The sequence below is a fragment of the Homo sapiens genome, chromosome 15, assembly GCF_000001405.40.
Source record: "Homo sapiens chromosome 15, GRCh38.p14 Primary Assembly".
Taxonomy (NCBI): Eukaryota; Metazoa; Chordata; class Mammalia; order Primates; family Hominidae; genus Homo; species Homo sapiens.
This window is the reverse complement of record NC_000015.10, coordinates 28,552,967-28,571,796: the sequence shown is the minus strand read 5'-3', so window position 1 is coordinate 28,571,796 and position 18,830 is coordinate 28,552,967. Positions and strand designations below refer to the sequence as shown.

General features: G+C 52.1%; 1 protein-coding gene and 1 pseudogene across 1 annotated transcript; one reads left to right on the top strand and one right to left on the bottom strand.

Annotated features, from left to right (window-relative positions):
* Window positions 1-1,934: 1,934 nt before the first annotated feature.
* LOC105369220 (pectinesterase inhibitor 10-like) lies at window positions 1,935-5,844 on the top strand (annotated as a pseudogene).
* A 2,173-nt stretch (window positions 5,845-8,017) lies between these two features.
* Window positions 8,018-18,229, bottom strand: GOLGA6L25 (golgin A6 family like 25). The gene is made up of 9 exons (NM_001365373.2): window positions 18,031-18,229; window positions 16,256-16,384; window positions 15,120-15,170; window positions 14,938-15,031; window positions 14,736-14,842; window positions 13,307-13,365; window positions 12,835-12,976; window positions 10,418-12,178; window positions 8,018-9,761 (listed from the first exon to the last, which is right to left on the bottom strand). The coding sequence occupies exons 1-8, from the start codon at window positions 18,166-18,168 to the stop codon at window positions 10,418-10,420; spliced, it is 2,481 nt and encodes an 826-aa protein (NP_001352302.2). The 5' UTR covers window positions 18,169-18,229; the 3' UTR covers window positions 8,018-9,761.
* Window positions 18,230-18,830: the final 601 nt, after the last annotated feature.

Genomic DNA, 18,830 nt, shown 5'->3' with positions numbered 1-18,830 from the left:
CAGGTAATCTGCCCACCTCAGCCTCCCAAAGTGTTGGGATTACCGGCGTGAGCCACCGCACCTGGCCATGTTTATTAATACGACTAAGAACATTCTGAATTGCACCTGTGGCTCCATTGGTGTCCTGGGCAGGTGGCTCTGTGCTGTCCACACAGGTTGTCTCCTGTGTCTTCGTCTTCGCTGCGTGTGACTTTTTGGTTCCTGTGGCACGTGGGGTCCTGTATGGGACATTGGTTCTACAGCAGATTTATAGTAAGGATGTACCTACTAAAAAATACAAAATAGAAAGAATAGACACAAACATAGAAATAAGTATCACCTCACAAAAATTTTGGAAAGTAGAAAAAGAAAAATGCATTCGCAGCTTTCCAGTAGCCGATATCCAGGCTGTCTTCATAAGCATGGATCATGTGTCCCTCTCCCGCATGGGTAGACACTGTTTTCTCACCTTAAGTGTTTGTGAGTGAAGGATTCTTGATGTGTTGACTTGGCAGATGCAGTTGTTGAACAGTAGTTTATCTAAAGATCGTAAGAGACTTTTGGAGACATTTCACGTCCTTTTTTCCCTTGGAAAACGTGAGTTGGAGAAATCGCTGCTTGCCAAAAATAAGCCGTGAAACGTATTTCAGAGTAGATCGTTATTTACTTGCTGGCGAGGAGCCACAGAATACCATTTACATTTGAAAATAGAGCGCTGCAAAGTTTTTATAAGTAGTGAATCCCATCAGAATTACACATTTTGATTATGGCTCTAAATTTTATATTAAATAAACTAAAAATTTCATTGTATTGTATTACCGTCTCTTGCTCCTTCAGGTGTAGCATACATGCTAGATTCTAGACCTGTTTCTTGTGTTACAGTGGTGTTATCCAGGCAGGGTATCATGTAGTGAAGGTGATGTCTGGTGGTGGTGAGCCCAGTGAAGGCGCATCCTTGCCGTGTGTGATGAGGGCCTGTGGGTTGCTATGGGATTCCCCAACCCTGGCTCCTCTGTCTCCTGCTTCTGTCCTTACTCATGCTGCTGGTAGTTTTCTGGTGTGAGACACGGGGGCAAGTGGGATTGACAAGCCTGCTGTCACATTAGGAACCTGAGTTAAAGTGGAGCTGAAAGCATGTCCTCGCTCTTGATGTTGTGCAGAGAGCCACCTGTGCTCCTGGCTCAACGGGGCAGGTGTGGTGGGTCTGGAACCAGGCCCTGGTTTGGCTCTCCTCCCCTCCATGTTCCCCTGTCCTGTCTGATTTGCTTCACACTGACATAAGAGTTACTTTCCCTCGGCCTCCCAAAGTGCTGGTATTACAGGCATTAGCCACCGCGCCCAGCTAGCATCCTTTCAAGTACTGGGGTACACCCAAGCTCCCAGCTTCTAGCTAGGAGTCATTTTGTCCCTCTTTATCCCAAAGGACTTGCCACCATCTTTGGTTCCCAAAGCCCAGGAGGGTCCAGGCTCTTCAGCCTCCAACCACTTTGCATTTCTTGTCTGCTTTTCGTTCATGGAGATAATTAACTTATTTTTCAGCCTGGGCATGTCTTTTTTATTTACTTTATTTTTTATTTTTATTTTTTGAGATGGAGTCTCACTCTGTCGCCCAGGCTGGAATGCAGTGGCGGGATCTCATTTCACTGCAGCCTCTGCCTCCCGGGTTCAAGTGATTCTCCTGCCTCAGCCTCCTGAGTAGCTGGGACTACAGGTGTGCACCACTATGCCCAGCTAATTTTTACATTTTTAGTAGAGACAGGGTGTCGCCATATTGGCCAGGCTGGTCTCGAACTCCTGGCTTCAAGTGATCCTCCTGCCTCAGCCTCCCAGAGTGCTGGGATTACAGGCACGACCACCGCACCCAGCCTTTATTTACTTTGTATATCTCATCTATTACTGCTGCAGTTTGCAGAAGAGAGGATGCCCTCAAACCTAACTTCTCCAAACCATCCCAAATGGGAAGTCTGCTCCACGTCAACAGCATTGTTGCTTTTAAAGACTATACGTCAACATGGCAGATTATAGCAAAAGGATGTCGAGGGAGCAATAGGAAAGCAAGCCTGAGAGTCCTGGAGAGAAGGTGGCAGAGCTGCCTTTTGAAGGTGGTTCCTTCCTCAGACCCTGCCCTTCCTGCCTTGTTCCTCCAGTTGCCAGATTTGCTGTTGGAGCTCCTCCACGGGCGAAGAGGTGAGGCTGGACTGAGAGGGAGATGGAGAAGCTGCCAGAGATTCTTTTGGATCTAGAATTGAGACAGCAGTTCCAGCCAGGTCCAGAGGTGGGGGCTGTCACCCAGCCCCCAGGGGAATGGTACTGATTGCAGAATGTGGCGAGAACTCCCTGGCTGGGAGAGGGAGGTGCTTGCTCCCTTGAATCACCTGAGCTCAGGCTGGAAGGCCCAAGGGGGAGGACGAGGCCAGCTCACTCCAGCTCCATCCCCTCCCTTTAACCCTAAGCTAGTTAACCCTCCCAGACTCCAGTCCTTTTTCCTAAGTGCCCTCCCTGCAAAGTCTGCACCGAGCAGCGCTCCCTCGCACCAGCTCACCCTGCACTGTCTTGTCTTTCAGCAACCCCATGGGTTTGAACTTGAGACGATTCATTTTCCTAAAAGCCTCTTTGGGCTGAGGGAAGGCATGGGTGGCTCTGCCAGTTTTGGAGTGGGGGCCGACTCTTCTCAGAGCCGCTGCAAGGGCCAGGGCCACCCTCCCAGGCGGGTGTCTCCGGGCTGGGCAGCAGCTTTGTAGGCAGCCTGGGTCATCCCCACTGGTCTGGGAAGCTGGGGGTGCACCGGCTCCTGCTCCTGATAGGGCCAAGGCACCTTCCTTACCTAAGAGCTGACTTTCTTGAAGAGTGGGCACAGAGGAGCCGGCAACCTGGGCTGTGTAGGCACCCAGGAGAAAATCTGCAGCTCAGTATCAGAAGTCTCCACCAGCACGGCTGTTGCAGAGATGGGGAAACTGGGCTGAGAGGGAAGGGGGCTTCCCCAAATCACCAGCCCTGGAATGTTTGGAGCTTTGGGGGTGGATCTCCCAGGAAACGTGTTTTTATGGCACCACCGCCTCTGGTCACCCACCCCGAGGTGTGGCGGGCCTGGACAGCCAGCTTGACTGAGGGCCAGGCTGGTGAAGTCAAAACTACCACTCAGGAAGAAGACCTAGCCCTTCTCCAGACAGAGTTCAAATGTGAGGGCTGCCTTCTTTGGGCCTCAAATTCCCCACGTGAATTCCAAGGACCCCTCTAGCTCCTACACTCTGGGCCAAGGTTTCCTCTGAGCCGCAGTCAGCCTAGAGGACCTAGGATACATCTTCCTTGGACAGAGACCCACCATAGGGGCAGCAGGAGGTAGGGGTGGGGGTAGGCAAGATTCCTGTGGGGAGGTGGAGCTGTCATCAGAGATGGTGTCTGCAGGCAGTGGGTGTATCGTGGCTCTGCTACTACTTGCTGGGTGGCCCCATGACGTTTCTTTCCCCACTCTGACCTCAGTTTCCCTATCTGTTCTGTGGAGATAAGATGCCTGCCTACATATTTGTGGACTGGGATGTGTGTGGGCCAGTTGCAGTGTTTCTTGGTGTGGTCCTGGGGCAGGCTGCACCACCCCATAGAGATTTCTGGGCCCCACCCTAGGCTCACAGGACCAGAATCTCTGGGAATGAAGCCTGGGAATTTGCATTTCCACAGGCATCTGGCTGATTCTGACATGACTGAAAAGCACTAATAGTATATAGCAAGCTCTTTATAAAAGGTAAATTCATAGCTGCCTTTTACTAAACATAAATCTCACCTTCCCTTCCTCAGTTAAGGACACACACTGCAGTTGAAAATCACTGTGCCTTTCCAGATGCAGAGTCTGACCTTTCCGATAAGATTCTGTTAACTGCTGCTTTCTGCAGTTTGTATTCCAAAACAAGGGGAATATGTTTCCATTTTTTCAATACAAATGTTTAAGTCGGATATGCTTTCTCAAACTGGACACACACTCACACAGCTTAGGGTTTCAGCTATGGCTTCCTCTCAAATTATTAGCCTCTTTCTGCCAGGGAGCAGTTTTTCCCAGACAAGACCCTGGACAGAGGTTGGTGGGGCCCTCCTCATCAGAATCACTAGATTATGACTGACCCCTAGAGGTGGCTTTTCTGCTTAAGTGTCAGCCCATGGGCTGGGTTGTGACCCCCAAAGCTGCGGCAGAAGCTTCCACCCATCCTGGGTCCCCCCTGCCATCTATGGGGAAAGGCCTGTCCCTTGTCTTCTGGGCCCAGCCGGCCTCACAGGCATTCAGCAGATTGGAAAGTCGAAGCATGTGCTGTGCTTGGCTGGGCTCTGCTGTGCCCCTTTTTGGGGTGAGGTGGAGTGCATCCAGCCCCCAGCATCCCTGCCGTTTATTCCCACCCCTCATCCCCACCCCCATACACACTCACAAGTACAAACACAAGCACAGTCACTGGCACACACCACTCTGGACAGCACCATTTCCAGCCTCAGCGGGGCAGTTTCCTTACAGGGAAGTTAATGAGGCACTAACGAAGGCTCAGGGGACAGGGGGAACCTCTATCGAGAAGAGGCTCCTAGACCTGGTTCTGCCTCTGAATTGCTGGGGGTCCTTGAGAAAGTTGCTATCCCTCTCTGGTCTCAGTTTCCTCAGGTGAGAAATGGGGGGCCGGCCAAATGGTCTAAGGTTCTGGGAACCTCTAAATCAGAGCCCGTAGCTGGTGGTCAAGATGAGGGAGAGGCCCTCAGGGTCAGCCGAATGCCTGAGAGGCAGGACAGGCCCAAAGGTGAGCAACGTGAGCACATCAGGTGGGCTCAGAGCTGGCGCATGAGCCCCACAGCCTGCAGAGCAGCCCTGTACTCGGGAGCCCGCTCACACCCACCCAGTGGGACTTCAGAGATGTGGGGTCCAGCCTTTCCTACTATTGCTGGGCTGAGGGCTGGGAGCTGCAGATTCTGACCCCACAGCTGCCTTAGACATGCCAGATGGTCTGGGGCAAGACACACCCCTCTCTATGAAATGAGCAGCCAGTCCAAATAGGTACATTAGAGAAGGGCTGTGGGATGGACCCAGCTGTAGCCTGGGGCTACAGACTGGCTTCCGGGGTACTCAAGCAGCTGGCCTCTGGGGTAGCAGCCCCAGGTATGAGAGGCAGGACTCAGAATCTAGGCCAAGCCTCCATAGGAATCCCCTCTGGAGAGCCCGGGCACTCTGCAGGAGGGGCAGCAGGCAGCAGGTGCACCAGGAGCATGTTTCACAAGGTGCCCAATATCGCATCTGCTCAGATAGGCAGCGAGTTGGAAAGTGGATGCAATAGGCAGGGTGGCGGCTGCTCCCCACAGCCAGGAGTCCGGCCCAGCACCCACCTGAGTCCGCCTCAGTCCTGCTCAATTGGGTTATCCGTGCTCTTGGCCCTCTGGTCCCACCCACAGAGGGAGGTCTTTGGGGCGACCAGGTGAGCTGGCCCTTGTGGGAGGATGTAACTGACTCCTGAGCCTGGCGAGCCAGGCAGCCCCTCGCCAACATCCCCACCCCTACCTCTCCAGCCCCCCCGCATTCCCTGATCCTCCCATCCGCTCCCCTGACCCAGCAGTTGCCTCTGCTCACTCTCTTTTCCTGCTCCCAGGCTCGCCTGGTCATGTGTCCTTCACTCTCCTCTGAGTCTCCCTCTTTCCAAGCCGCCTCCACTCTACTTGACACACTCTCCCTTAAGACACCAGAGTACACAAGCGCAAGTCCCTGCACCTCACCTTTACTCCCAGACATGGGAGGGAGATGACATGAAGACCCAAACGCCACTTAGCAGGAGATCTGGGGTATGCAGAGGGGCAGAACGGAGGCTGTGGAAGCTCCAGGGGCTCCCTGCAGGAGGCCACATGTAAGCTGGCTATTGAATGTGGCTCTGAGCTGAGACCTCTCCTTGAAGCTCCAGACCAGGAGCCAGCTGCTAGCTGGACCCCTCCATTTGGTGCCTCAGAGAAACTTTGCACTCTGTAGGTCTAACTTTGAACCCAGAAAATTCCCCCATGTCGGCCCTGTCTCTTCACAGGGAAAGCACCACCTCAGACCCAGTTCTGCACCAAACCCACATTTGAGTCACGAGGCTCCTGCCCTGCACTGTGAGCACTCTGGATAAGCCAGTGCTGAGGGGGAAAGAGCTCTGAATGCCAAGCCAAAACATGAGCTTCAACTCCACCTCCAGCTCTGAGAGCTGTGGGTAGGGAAGGGCCCAAGTCCAGTTTGCTGTAGAAAGACCAGTCTGCCACTGTATGGCACATGGATGGCACGGGCAGAGTGTGGGTGGAGAGAATAGAAGGTGGGCAGGGCGGGGGAGGCAGGGACATGGCTGTAGCCGTGGAGATGGGAGGACAGACAGGACTTGGTGGCCACTTGGGTGAACCAAGGGAGGAGTCAGGAAGAGACACCCAGTTTTGTATCAGATGTGTAGAGCGTGGGATGCTGTTCATTGACGGAGGGAGGAGGAGGAGGAAGAGGTATGGCATGGGGAGGAGGTAGCTGAGCTCTGTCGTGAATGTCATTTGAAGTCCCCAGGGAGAGCCAGGCCGGCCAGCACCTTCAGTGCTTCAGCCAGCTCTCAGGGTGTCTGTGCTCCCTGGCCCTCTCAGCTCCTGCTTCATAGCTGTCAGCTGCAGTGGGAGACAGCTGCACAAGGGCCCAGCATGTCTGTGTGTTTACCCAGGGGACTGCCGCATGGCCCATGCCGAGCAGAAACTGATGGACGACCTTCTGAACAAAACCTGTTACAACAACCTGATCCGCCCAGCCACCAGCTCCTCACAGCTCATCTCCATCCAGACGGCGCTCTCCCTGGCCCAGTGCATCAGCGTGGTAGGTGCAGAGGGTACCTGTGGCTCAGGCTCAGGTGAAGAGGAAGCTCATGCCCAAGCCCTAAGCAGTCAATGTCCAGAGGAATGAAATGACTAGAGTTGACTTAGACTCACCGGTACACGGTGGGGAGGCTGGAGGAGGGTCCATGAGGTTTATAGGTGTCCAGTATTTAATGAGGTCATGGTTTTGTTAACAAAGAAGAAATGAGGGTGGGAGCGAGATCACCACTGGCTAGGCAGCCAATGGGCCTGCATAGACTCTGCTCAGCTGAGTCTCCAGCACGACCATGAGCTTCTCCTCCTCATCCTCCCAGCCCCACCCTACTCTCTCCCCCAGCTTGCTCAACAGGTGACCTTATAGGCTCCCTACTCTTTGCAGGGAATAAGAACCAGACTGGGGGAACTGACGGGTACAGAGGCCCAGGTGTAGGCGCAGGACCACAGGCAGTGAAGCGTCTACTGACCCAGGCGGGTGAGGGTCTGGAGAGTGGGCATGGCTGCTGCAGGCATGGAAAGCAGGCACAGATGGCGGCACTCCCAGGGCCCATTGTCAGGGTCTCCACATGTGGACATGTGCAGAGGTGGGGGTGCTGAGGGAGGAGGGGCAGGGAATTTCTCATCTTCTCTCTACTGCCTCTGAGTTGGAGATGTCAGAGGGAGCCATGGCCCACTGTAAAGTAACACAATGTCCCCACCCACAGGATTAGAACCCCTCCCCTGGAAGCAGCTCTGAGGGGAACAGTCACATGTAGAGAGTGCAGGGCACTGTGTCCAGCCGGGGGAAGGAGGTCACCAAGGGGGTTGACCCCCCTCTGGCCAGGTGGCTACCTTCTGACACACCAGCCTCTGTCTCTAGCACGGTGGCCCCCACACACCCAGCCTGTGAAACCTACAGCCCTCAAGAAGGCTTTGGCCAAATTAATGAGCGGCTCCCTCTCCCAGGAGGAAGCACGGGTGAAGGATGTGGAGGGCAGTAGAGTTGTGTGTGCTCCGCCCCCTTTCTCCACAGTCGGATGGAAAGAAGGGGGCTTTCAGCCAGGCTCGCCCAGCCTGGGGTCTGAGTGTCACTGTCCAGCTATTGGCTTCTTGCTTAATGGGTGAGCCCAGCTGCTCCCGTGCAGCTGCCGCCCTAGTGAGGGTGAACCGGCAGGCGAGTTACATTTCTGAAAGCCTGGGAATACAGTAAATATTAGGCTGTGGGCTGCTGGGCCAGGAAGAGTTGTTTATTTTTCAGGGTTTGTTTATCTATTGACTTGATGAGGGAGGGTTATAGGTACAACCAGTTTAAAGATGGAAATTTTGAGAGAGCAGGCAGGGATTTAGTGCTGGGTAAGCCTGGTCAAAGCGGCTCTTTTGGGGCGGCCAGAATCCAGTACCAATGTCCTCAGCATGTTCATCAGCTGCTGGGGGAGTGCGGGACAGCATGAAAGCACAGGAGAACTTTCTGGATGATAGAAATACTCTGTATCTTCAAAGGAGGTGGGTTCCATAGTAATGTTAAATGAGTTAAAACTCATCAAAATGTAAACCAGACCTGTGCATTTCACTAATAGAAATTATACCTCCAATTAAAAACATGTTTTAAAAGACAGATGGGCCGGATGCAGTGGCTCATACTTGTAATCCCAGCACTTTGGGAGGCTGAGGCAGGTAGATCACCTGAGTCAGGAGCTCGAGACCAGCCTGGAAAACATGGTGAAATCCTGCCTCTATTAAAGGTATAAAAAAAAATTAGCCAGGCATGGTGGCACACGCTACTCGGGAAGCTGAGGCAGGAGAATTGCTTGAACCCAGGAGGCAGAGGTTACAGTGAGCAGAGATCGTGCCATTGCACTAGAGCCTGGGCAACAGCGCAAGACTCCATCTCAACAACAACAAAAAAAGGACAGATGAAGGTTTTCAACTTTCAATAAAGGCAGAGGAGCTTGTTACAGATTCGCCTCCCCGCAAGAGCAGTTAGAAAAACTGGATAAAAATGTGCCCCGCCCCCAATCAAAAACAATTGTTGGAAGGTAATTGGAGACCTCAGTCAGGACTTGAGTGACCAGGCCTAGGAGGTGATCCTGACAGTCTGTAGTGCTTTCCCACATTTGGTGATTGGTCAACAGTAGAGGGCTAAGAGGCTAAGAAACTGAGTATGAAGTGGTAGTTAAGAGGCTGGAGAGCCTAGCTGAATGTTTGGCACTCTCACAGGGCTGAAATGACCTAATGAGAATTTGGGTCCCAGGAGGGAGATGGGACCTTGGTGGGGACCCTGGAAGGGCCACCCCTGGGAGTCCAAATGAATAAAACATAGACCAGCCATCAGAAAACCTAAAACCTGCTTTGAACCAGCTTAGTCCCGAAGTAGATGAAGGCGATCTGCCCTTACTCCAATTGTGTGCCATAAACTCAAAGTCAATACTCTCTGGAGGCAGATAAAAGTTTACTATGAATGCCAAAAGACAACACAAGACTAAATGAGAAAGACCAAGAAGAAAACTAATAGAAACATACATGTAAGGAAGAAACTTTTTTTTTTGAGACGGAGTTTCGCTCTGTCACCCAGGCTTGAGTGCAGTGGCACGATCTCAGCTCACTGCAACCTCTGCCTCCCAGGTTCAAGCGATTCTCCTGCCTCAGCCTCCCAAGTAGCTGGGATTACAGGCATGCGCCACCATGCCCGGCTAATTTTTGTATTGGCCAGGCTGGTCTTGAACTCTTGACCTCAGGTCATCCATTTACCTCGGCCTCCCAAATTGCTAGGATTACAGGCGTGAGCTACCATGCCTGGCCAGTATTTTGCCACAATTTAAAATAAATAAAATTTTTTTTTCAGGTTTGTGCTCAGACTATATTCTAAACAGTCACATGGCGGCTTACTCTTCTCCAGGCCTTGCTGCCGGCTTTTACATGTTTATTGTCTTTGCCTTCTTGTCATGTGCTCATTAGATGGCAGCTTCCAGGTGCTCCTAAGGGGCCAGGAAAGAGAGTGAGAAGGCACGGAGGTTGCCAGATCATCCCCCTTGGGGCCCCGCCCTCATCAACTCCCTCAACCGGGTCTCCTGCAACTATCGGTGGGCCATCTCGGCCACCGCTTCGCCCTGAGCTTCCTGCTGCTGCAGCTGGGCAGTGCCTCCTTCTCAGAGGCCAGCTGCTGATAGGCGGCCACGTACTGCTGCAGGTGACCCAGGTAATGGTCTCGCTGCTGCTGCAGACTCAGCCTCTTGGCTCTTCAGCTCCACCTGCAGGATAGGCGTCAGGGTAGGTAGTGGCTGGCTTCCAGATTCTGGGCCCATAAACAGGGTAGTGAGGGCACTGCGGGGCTCTGTCGCCTACCCAGGCCCCTGGCCCTGGCCCCTTCCTCCAGGCCTAAATGACTGCCTCCCTTGCCTAGAGGCCCATGCCTCCCTCCCCAGCCTCAAATCTCACACCCTTCTTCCCACCATTTAAACTGTAGGCCACAGACTGGTGGAAAAGCAGAGGGAGCCAACCACCATCTGCTAAGTTGTGGTGAGGTCGTTCTGTATGATCTCCAGGGTTTGCACACACCTCCGCCTGCTCCCCCCAAGAGCTCGGCCTTCTGCCCCAGCTTCCCCAGCCTCTCCTCCAGCTCCTGCAGCCTCACCTAGTGTTCCTGCATCTTCTCCTCCTGCTGCCGCAGCCTCACTTCCTGCTCCCGCATCTTCTCCTCCTGCCTCCGCATCTTCTCCTCCTGTTCTTGCATCTTCTCTTCCTGCTCACACATCTTCTCCTCCTGCTCCCACATCTTCTCTTCCTGTTCCTGCATCATCTCCTCCTGCTCTCGTATCTTCTCCTCCTGCTCCCGTATCTTCTTCTCCTGCTCCCTTATCTTCTCCTCCTGCCTCCGCATCTTCTCCTCCTGTTCTTGCATCTTCGCTTCCTGCTCACACATCTTCCCCTCCTGCTCCCCCATCTTCTCTTCCTGTTCCTGCATCATCTCCTCCTGCTCTCGTATCTTCTCCTCCTGCTCCCGTATCTTCTTCTCCTGCTCCCTTATCTTCTCCTCCTGCCTCCGCATCTTCTCCTCCTGTTCTTGCATCTCCTCTTCCTGCTCCCACATCTTCTCCTCCTGCTCCCCCATCTTCTCTTCCTGTTCCTGCATCATCTCCTCCTGCTCTCGTATCTTCTCCTCCTGCTCCCATATCTTCTCCTCCTGCTCCCGTATCTTCTCCTTCTGCTCCCGTATCTTCTCCTCCTGCTCCCTTATCTTCTCCTCCTGCCTCCGCATCTTCTCCTGTTCTTGCATCTTCTCTTCCTGCTCCCCCATCTTCTCTTCCTGTTCCTGCATCATCTCCTCCTGCTCTCGTATCTTCTCCTCCTGCTCCCGTATCTTCTCCTGCTCCCGTATCTTCTCCTCCTGCTCCCTTATCTTCTCCTCCTGCTTCCACATCTTCTCCTCCTGCTCCTGCCTCTTTTCCTCCTGCTCCCGTATCTTCTCCTCCTGCCTCCACACCTTCTCCTCCTGCTCCCGTATCTTCTCCTCCTGCCTCCACATCTTATCCTCCTGCTCCTGCCTCTTCTCCTCCTCCCATATCTTCTCCTGCTCATGCATCTTCTCTTCCTCCCTCCACATCTCCTCCTGCTCCCGTATCTTCTCCTCCTGCCTCCACATCTTCTCCTCCTGCTCCCGTATCTTCTCCTCCTGCCTCCACACCTTCTCCTCCTGCTCCCGTATCTTCTCCTCCTGGTCGTGCATCTTCTCCTCCTGCCTCCACACCTTCTCCTCCTGCTTCCGTATCTTCTCCTCCTGCTCGTGCATCTTCTCCTTTTGCCTCCATATCTCCTCCTGCTCCCTTATCTTCTCCTCCTGCCTCCACATCTCCTCCTGCTCCTGCCTCTTCTCCTCCTCCCGTATCTTCTCCTGCTCGTGAATCTTCTCCTCCTGCCTCCACATCTTTTTCTCCTGCTCCCGTATCTTCTCTTCCTGCTCCCGTATCTTCTCCTCCTGCCTCCACATCTTCGCCTCCTGCTCCTGCCTCTTCTCCTGCTCGCGTATCTTCTCCTCCTCCTGCCTCTTCTCTTCCTGCTCCCGTATCTTCTCCTGCTCGTGCATCTTCTCTTCCAGCTCCCGTATCTTCTCCTCCTTCTCCCACATCATCTCCTCCTGCCTCCGCATCTTCTCCTCCTTCTCCCACATCATCTCCTCCTGCCTCCGCATCTTCTCCTCCTGCTCCCGTATCTTCTCCTCCTGCTCCTGTATCTTCTCCTCCCGCTCCTGTATCTTCTCCTCCTGCCTCCACATCTTCTCCTCCTGTTGCTGGTTCAGGCGGTTCCACAACTCGTTCTCTTCCACCTGGGCTTGGAGCTTTGCTGACACACTCTGCAGCTCCTTACCCAGGTGGTCAGCCTCCGCCTGCAGCTGCTGCTGGAATAGTGAAAGTGTTTTTTTGAACCTCAGAAGGAAGCAGAATCATGAGCTAGCCACATAAATGTAATCTATAGGCTGGGCGCGGTGGCTCACGCCTGTAATCCCAGCACTTTGGGAGGCCGAGGTGGGCGGATCACGAGGTCAGGAGATCGAGACCATCCTGGTTAACACAGTGAAACCCCGTCTCTACTAAAAATACAAAAAATTAGCTGGGTGTGGTGGTGGGCACCTGTAGTCCCAGCTACTTGGGAGGCTGAGGCAGGAGAATGGCGTGAAGCCGGGGGGTGGAGCTTGCAGTGAGCCGAGATTGCGCCACTGCACTCTGGCCTGGGTGACAGAGTGAGACTACTTCTCAAATAAATAAATAAATAAATAAATAAATAAATAAATAAATGTAATCTATAAAATAATGGTTTTCATCCATGATCCTTTAAAAAAATATTTTTAAGCCCTAACTCTTGAGATTCTGATTCCCCAGGCAGGGCCCCAATTTGTACATTTTTAGTACACTCTAGAGGATTCTATGGCGGGGCCAGAACAAGGACCCAAATTTTCCAGCTCTTGGCTGGAGCCTCCCCATACCCTGCATGATCCCTAGACCATGGTCCCAGCTGGATGGGTCTCCCACAACCCCCGGGGCTGCAGCTGCTCACCTGTGGCAGCAGGAGCTTGGCCCTCTCCAGTTTCCTTTTTAGCTCCTTTACGTTGAGCTGGATCTCAGACTTTTCAGATTCTACAAGTTGAAGTTTTTCTTGTAGTTTGGCATTTTTCTCCTTCAGCTCCTCATCAGTTATGCTATGGCCAGAGGCAGTAGAGAAAGGAATGAATGAAGAACATAAAAGACCACTTTGGTGATTGACCCCCTACCCTCGCCCCACAACCACAGAACCGTGGCGCTGGAAGGGACCCCAGGAATTAAAAGTCCCAGGTGGCAGGCCAGAGAGAAGACATGAGTTGCCTGAGGCTACCCCATGAGTCAGTGGCACAGCCAGCACTAGAGTTTCCGTGTGCACACATGAAAACATGTATGAGCCTCTCCCCACACTCACCTGGACCCCCCACCTCCCAGCACACCACCCATGCTAAGGGCCCCCAGACCTCCCATTCCACCTTCCCCCATCCTACGTGTTCCTGTACAGTTCCAGACTCAGGGCGTCCCTCTCCTTTGTTAACTCCTCAATGTACTGCAAATAGAGAAAGGTTAAGTCAGGATAGAGCAGGCACAGCAGTAGCTGGACGACCAGGAACAACTGCTACAGTGACTACTCCACAGTAACACTTCCTCACTCTCAATCACACCTGACGTGTTCTCAAGGCATTTCCAAGCCCATGGTCTCATTTGTTTTTCTTTCTTTCTTTCTTTTTTTTTTTTTGGCAGAGTTTCATTCTTGTTGCCCTCACTGGAGTGCAATGGCACAATCTCAGCTCACCACAACCTACACCTCCTGGGTTCAAGCAATTCTCCTGCCTCAGCTTCCCGAGTAGTTGGGATTACAGGCATGTGCCACCACACCGGGCTAATTTTGTATTTTTAGTAGAGACGGGGTTTCTTCGTGTTGGTCAGTCTAGTCTTGAACTCCTGACCGCAGGTGATCCGCCCACCTCAGCCTCCCAAAGTGCTGGCATTACAGGCGTGAGCGAGAGCACCTGGCCCTCATTTGTTTTTCAAAGAACTCAGTGGATGTGGAAGGGACAGGGAAAGAGATTGAATTTAGGGCTGGCTAACAGGGGCCCAGAGCGATCAGATAATATTGTTATTGTTATTACTGTTATTACTACCACTGTTGGAGCCTTTATTGGGTGCTTCACCAGGCACTATGCTAACAATCCCATTTAATCCTCACAACCTCCATAGGAGACGGTTACCATTATTACCTCTATTGTGTAGATGAAAAACATGCAGTATTAAAGGTTAAGTGCTGCCTAAGATCACTTGGAGCTGGGATTTCAACACCCAGGTATATCTGATTCTCTAAGCCCATTCTTCCGCTGGAGGTAGGGGCACAGTTAAGAAGGAGGAAATTAATCCTTTGTTGAATTTTTGAAAGGATGATACGTTCGCATAGTCCAAAACTCAGAAAGTCCAGAAGGGAAATATCTCCCCCCAACACTGTGCCTCTATCCTGAGTTTTTTAATGAATCCTTACAAACGTGTTTTATGTATGTTACCATAATACGTACACACACACACATATACACCTGCCCCCTCTCTCCACACAAATAATAACATACTCAAGATACTCTTCTGTACCTTTATGGTACAAGTACCCTAACCGCCACTTAGGACTTGGCCAAGGCCACAGCCAAGTATGGGCAGGGCGGGCACTTGGCCTCTGAGATCTATGTCCAGTGCTCGCTCCTCACAGTGCTCCCCAACTCACCCACAACAGCCGACTCAGCCCCAGTCTGCCTCTAACAACCACACACAAAAGCAGCAAGAAATGGCCATGCTGCCTTCTGGGCAGGACACTCCATCCTACAGAAGGGACCTTTAGGCTCACTCCTCCATCTGCGAAGCTGGGCTCCCAAGGGACGGGGCCGTGTTTGGACTCACCCTATCCGCCTTCTTCTTCTGTGTAGCGACAGCAGAGAGAGCCTGCTCTAACTCTCCTGCAAACTTCCATGAATCATGCAGGCGGCTGATCAGATCCCTGGCCTCTCCTGGAATGAGAGACATTCAGATGTGGCCCAAAGGACTCCCCCTAAAGGCCTGTCAAAGTGCCAGGTTGAAGGATGATGGGGTGCCAGATTCCCACCTTCCAACTGCTTGACAGCATGCTGGCTGTAGTAGAGTGCCATCTGAAGCTCAGTTTTCTGACATGTAAGGATTCGTATGGTATGAACCTGGGCCTTTGGGAGAAAAGACAAGCAAATGCTGAAAGAGAAGCAAAGAAACATTCTCCAGAGGGCAGGAGGGAACTTCACACCCTCCACTCACCTCTAGCTCCCTCCTTAGGGCTTCCTGATGTTGGTGGCTTGCCTTCTGTTCCTATAGAAAGAGGAAAACAGAGCTCTTACTAGGGGGAGGCAGAGATCCACAGCAAGAGACATGCCCCCAGAATGGCACCACTGCCCCAGAACAGGCCCACCCATGGGACCAGTTTATCAGGGACCCTGTGGGGATGGGGTGGAATCTTGGGGGTGAGCCCTCTTCCCCAGGCTGGGAGTGGGTGAGATGAGCCTGGGGCCTCTACATCTGAGTGCCCCCAAACCCAGCGGTCATGTCGTGAGCAAAGAAATCACACGACTTCTTCCAGCTGAGCTCGGTTCTATTGTTTCTGTGGGGAGAGTCAAAGGAAGGTGACTGAGGGTGGCCCCCTTGACTCTATTCCCCAGGCCAGGAAGCGATAGGCAGGGGCCAGGAATGGATTTAAAAGGCACAGTTCTCAGACCCAATGGGAACATGAACTGGTCAACTCTCCTCAACTCCCAAAGAAGAGGGATTTGGGTCTTTTTGGTTTTTGCCCACAGCCACAGAACTCAAAGTCTGAAACTAGATTCTCTTGAAAAGACAGTAACAGAAACCTTCAGAGGTGGAGTGCGAGAAAAGCCCACCCTTCCGCCAGCTTGTGATTTAGAAAGGTGCATTCACTCAGCAAACGTTGAGCACATACGGGCCAGGGACGGTTCTTCACAGCGGGAATAGAGGTCAGAAAAGGCAGACAGGAGCCCTTGGCCCCGAGGTTTCCATTCTAGTGGGCCTTTAACTCTCGGGCTCTCAGAGCTAACAGAAACCTCTGATACTCTCTAACTCTACCTCAGGAAACGCAAGCCCAAGAAGGAGAGTTTACAGCAGGTCCTGGACGAGGGATTAACATAAAAACACAATGACAAATCTCATTTAAACTTCACAAATGTAAGGAAAACAATACCACTCGTATTTTACGGATGTGAAAAGAGAGGCCCAAAGAGCTCAAGCAATTTGCGCTAAATCATATCCCTAGCAGATGGAGGGGTAGGATTCAAACCCAGAATTCTTAGCCAGTACCTGGCAGTTCTTCCACAATCTTAACAATTACCCTCCACCACCCCTTGGGCCCTCTGTCCCCAGGAGCCCGGCCAGCCAAGACTCACATCCTCAGGCGAGTGGCAACCACCAGAAGTGGTTGTCTCAGGGTTAGTGCCATTATTTATTTTCTTCTTTTTGGTGTCGCTTGCTGCTGTACCAACACTAGGGTTGGTCTGGGGATGATGGTCTGTCAACTGTGGAAAGGAAGAGCAGTGATACTCATGAGAACTACAAGCTCCTACAGTCACATCCTGCTTTACAGTTTATACTAAATACTCTTATAGACCATCTGATTTAATGCCACCAACTGTAGGAAATGTTGTCACAATCACTTAGTGACTGAGAGAGATTGATACCATGGCTGAAAAAAAAGGCAGTAATGGAACTTAAACTCAGTCTTCTGACTCTGAGCTCTGGGATTTTGCCCTAAATCAGCAGCTGCCAGGGACCAAAACCAGAGGCAGAGGTAGAAAAGCAAATATTAAGTAGGCAGGAACTGTGCACTATGTGGTTTAGGGTTATTCACCCTCACACGTCTGTTAGTGTTAAAAAGTACACCAGTACCTCTCAAACCTTTACATCAATGTCTCCTCATGGCAGAAGGCAGCCTTTCTGCTAAATCTGGGAATTTAACAGAAAGAGGACAACCCAAGCCTCATTTCAGAGAGAAGTCTTGTATACGCTTATAAATCTATGTGACTTTCATCCCTAAGTACATTAATGTTTTGTCTCTCAATAGAATCAAGGGAAACTGATGCTTCAGAAAGATGCCCCATATTTATCCTGTGGCACTCAAAGTACCCCAGGTTGAGATGAGATGAGGAAGACTCAAGCTAAGTTCAGTTTCCCAAGATCTGTTCCACAGAAGATAAGCAGATCTCACTCCAGAACCAGTGACTGAGGGGCACTCTGGTCCCAGAACAATGGAGAATTCAAATCTGAGGTGCAGAACTGAGAAAAAATGTTAAAATCTCTCTGGAGAGTAGAAGCCTGGGAGAAAACCAAACCAAACCCGTTCTCCCATTGCCACCCAGAGACACTGTCAACGTGTTGAGCTCATGGGGGAGGTGTAGGCTTTTCACACTGTCAAGGTCTGTGGTAAGGAAGTCAGGCAGCCTGAAACCTCTCTCTTCTAGGTCCCACAGTCCCCATTCCCCTTCCAGCTGGAAACCTGTGCTGCAACCAGAGGAAACAGAAGTGGGCAAGAACACTTAGGGGACTGGGTCCTAAGACCAAAGGCCGGTCTTGTGGTAGTAATGACAGTTTGTAGCGGGACTGTGACATCACTACATTCTACTCCTCGGTGGAGTGGTTGGGGGGGACACATGAGTGCAATGCCCAAGTTGCCGCTTTGAGACTGGGGAGGGGGTCACAAAATTGGGAGCCAGGTCCTTGGAGACGTGACCCCAAAGAGCCCCGGGAGGTCAGGCTTGGGGCGGCAGGAGGTGAGGGCCAATTAAGGAGCAAGGAGCTCCAGGAGTCACATCCCCAAAGTCACCCTGTGGCAACTGGTGAGGGCAGGTTCTGGGGCACCCAGGTCCTTGGAGCTGTGAGCTCAAGGAGCCCAGGGAGGTCGGGTTTGGGGTAGCAGGAGGTAAGGGCGGAGTATGGAGTTGGAAGCCCCAGGAGTCACCTGCTCAAAGTCACCCTGGTGTGCCGGGCAGAGCAGGGGCAGGACTTATGAGGGGGTTGGGCTGGCTGACAAGATTTTGGTGTGGGGAGCCCAGAGGCACTGGGGTGGGGGGCCCAGCCTGGTGTCCCTCAGGAGTGGCACAGACTCTGGCAGCAGTTCGGCTGTCAGAGGGGGCCTCGGGTTGGGTTGGGGTGTTGGTGCGTTTACCTGTTCCTTGGCCTCGGCCAATTTGCTCTGTCTGGTTTCTTTGGACATCATAGGATGGGTAGGGAGGTGGGGATGGGTAGGGAGGTGGGGATGGGTAGGGAGGTGGGGATGGGTAGGGAGGTGGGGTTGGGGCCACATCAGCATGATCCAGGTGAGGACAAGTATATACCTCCAGTCACCTCTACGTCGCTGTGTGACTGAGCCAGAGGAGGCGTAACCAGGGCTGCACTAGAATGCAGAATAGGGGTGTGGCCTTCATGCTTGAAGCCCATTGGTCAATGAGAAAGATGAAAGGAAAAGGAGGTGTGGCCAGACAGCAGCGTGTCATCAAGGACCTGTGTTGTCACAAGGAAAGCTGCCTATGCAACCGCTGTCCCCGCCCACTCCAGGAGAGGGGCGGGGCTGGCTTTCACTTTAAAAACTTTAAAACTTTATTACCTCAATTGAGGTACAAGTCCTATTAAAATGGAAATTTTATAGTGTGCTTGATGATTGATAAAGCAGACTTTATTATCCAACATTCCAATAAGATAATCACAATGTTTTCTCTTTTTTGGAAAAACTTTCTCTTATTCTCCTACATTAGCGTTTAGTTTTTTTAAAAAAAACAAACAAACAAGAAACATGTCTAATATCTTTAAAAATACAAAGCTTTGAGCCAGGCATGATGGCTCATGCCTGTAATCCCAGCACTTTGGGAGGCTGGGGCGGGTGGATCACCCGAATTCAGGAGTTCAAGACCAGCCTGGCCAACATGATGAAATCCTGTCTCTACTAAAAATACAAAAGTAGCTGGGCAT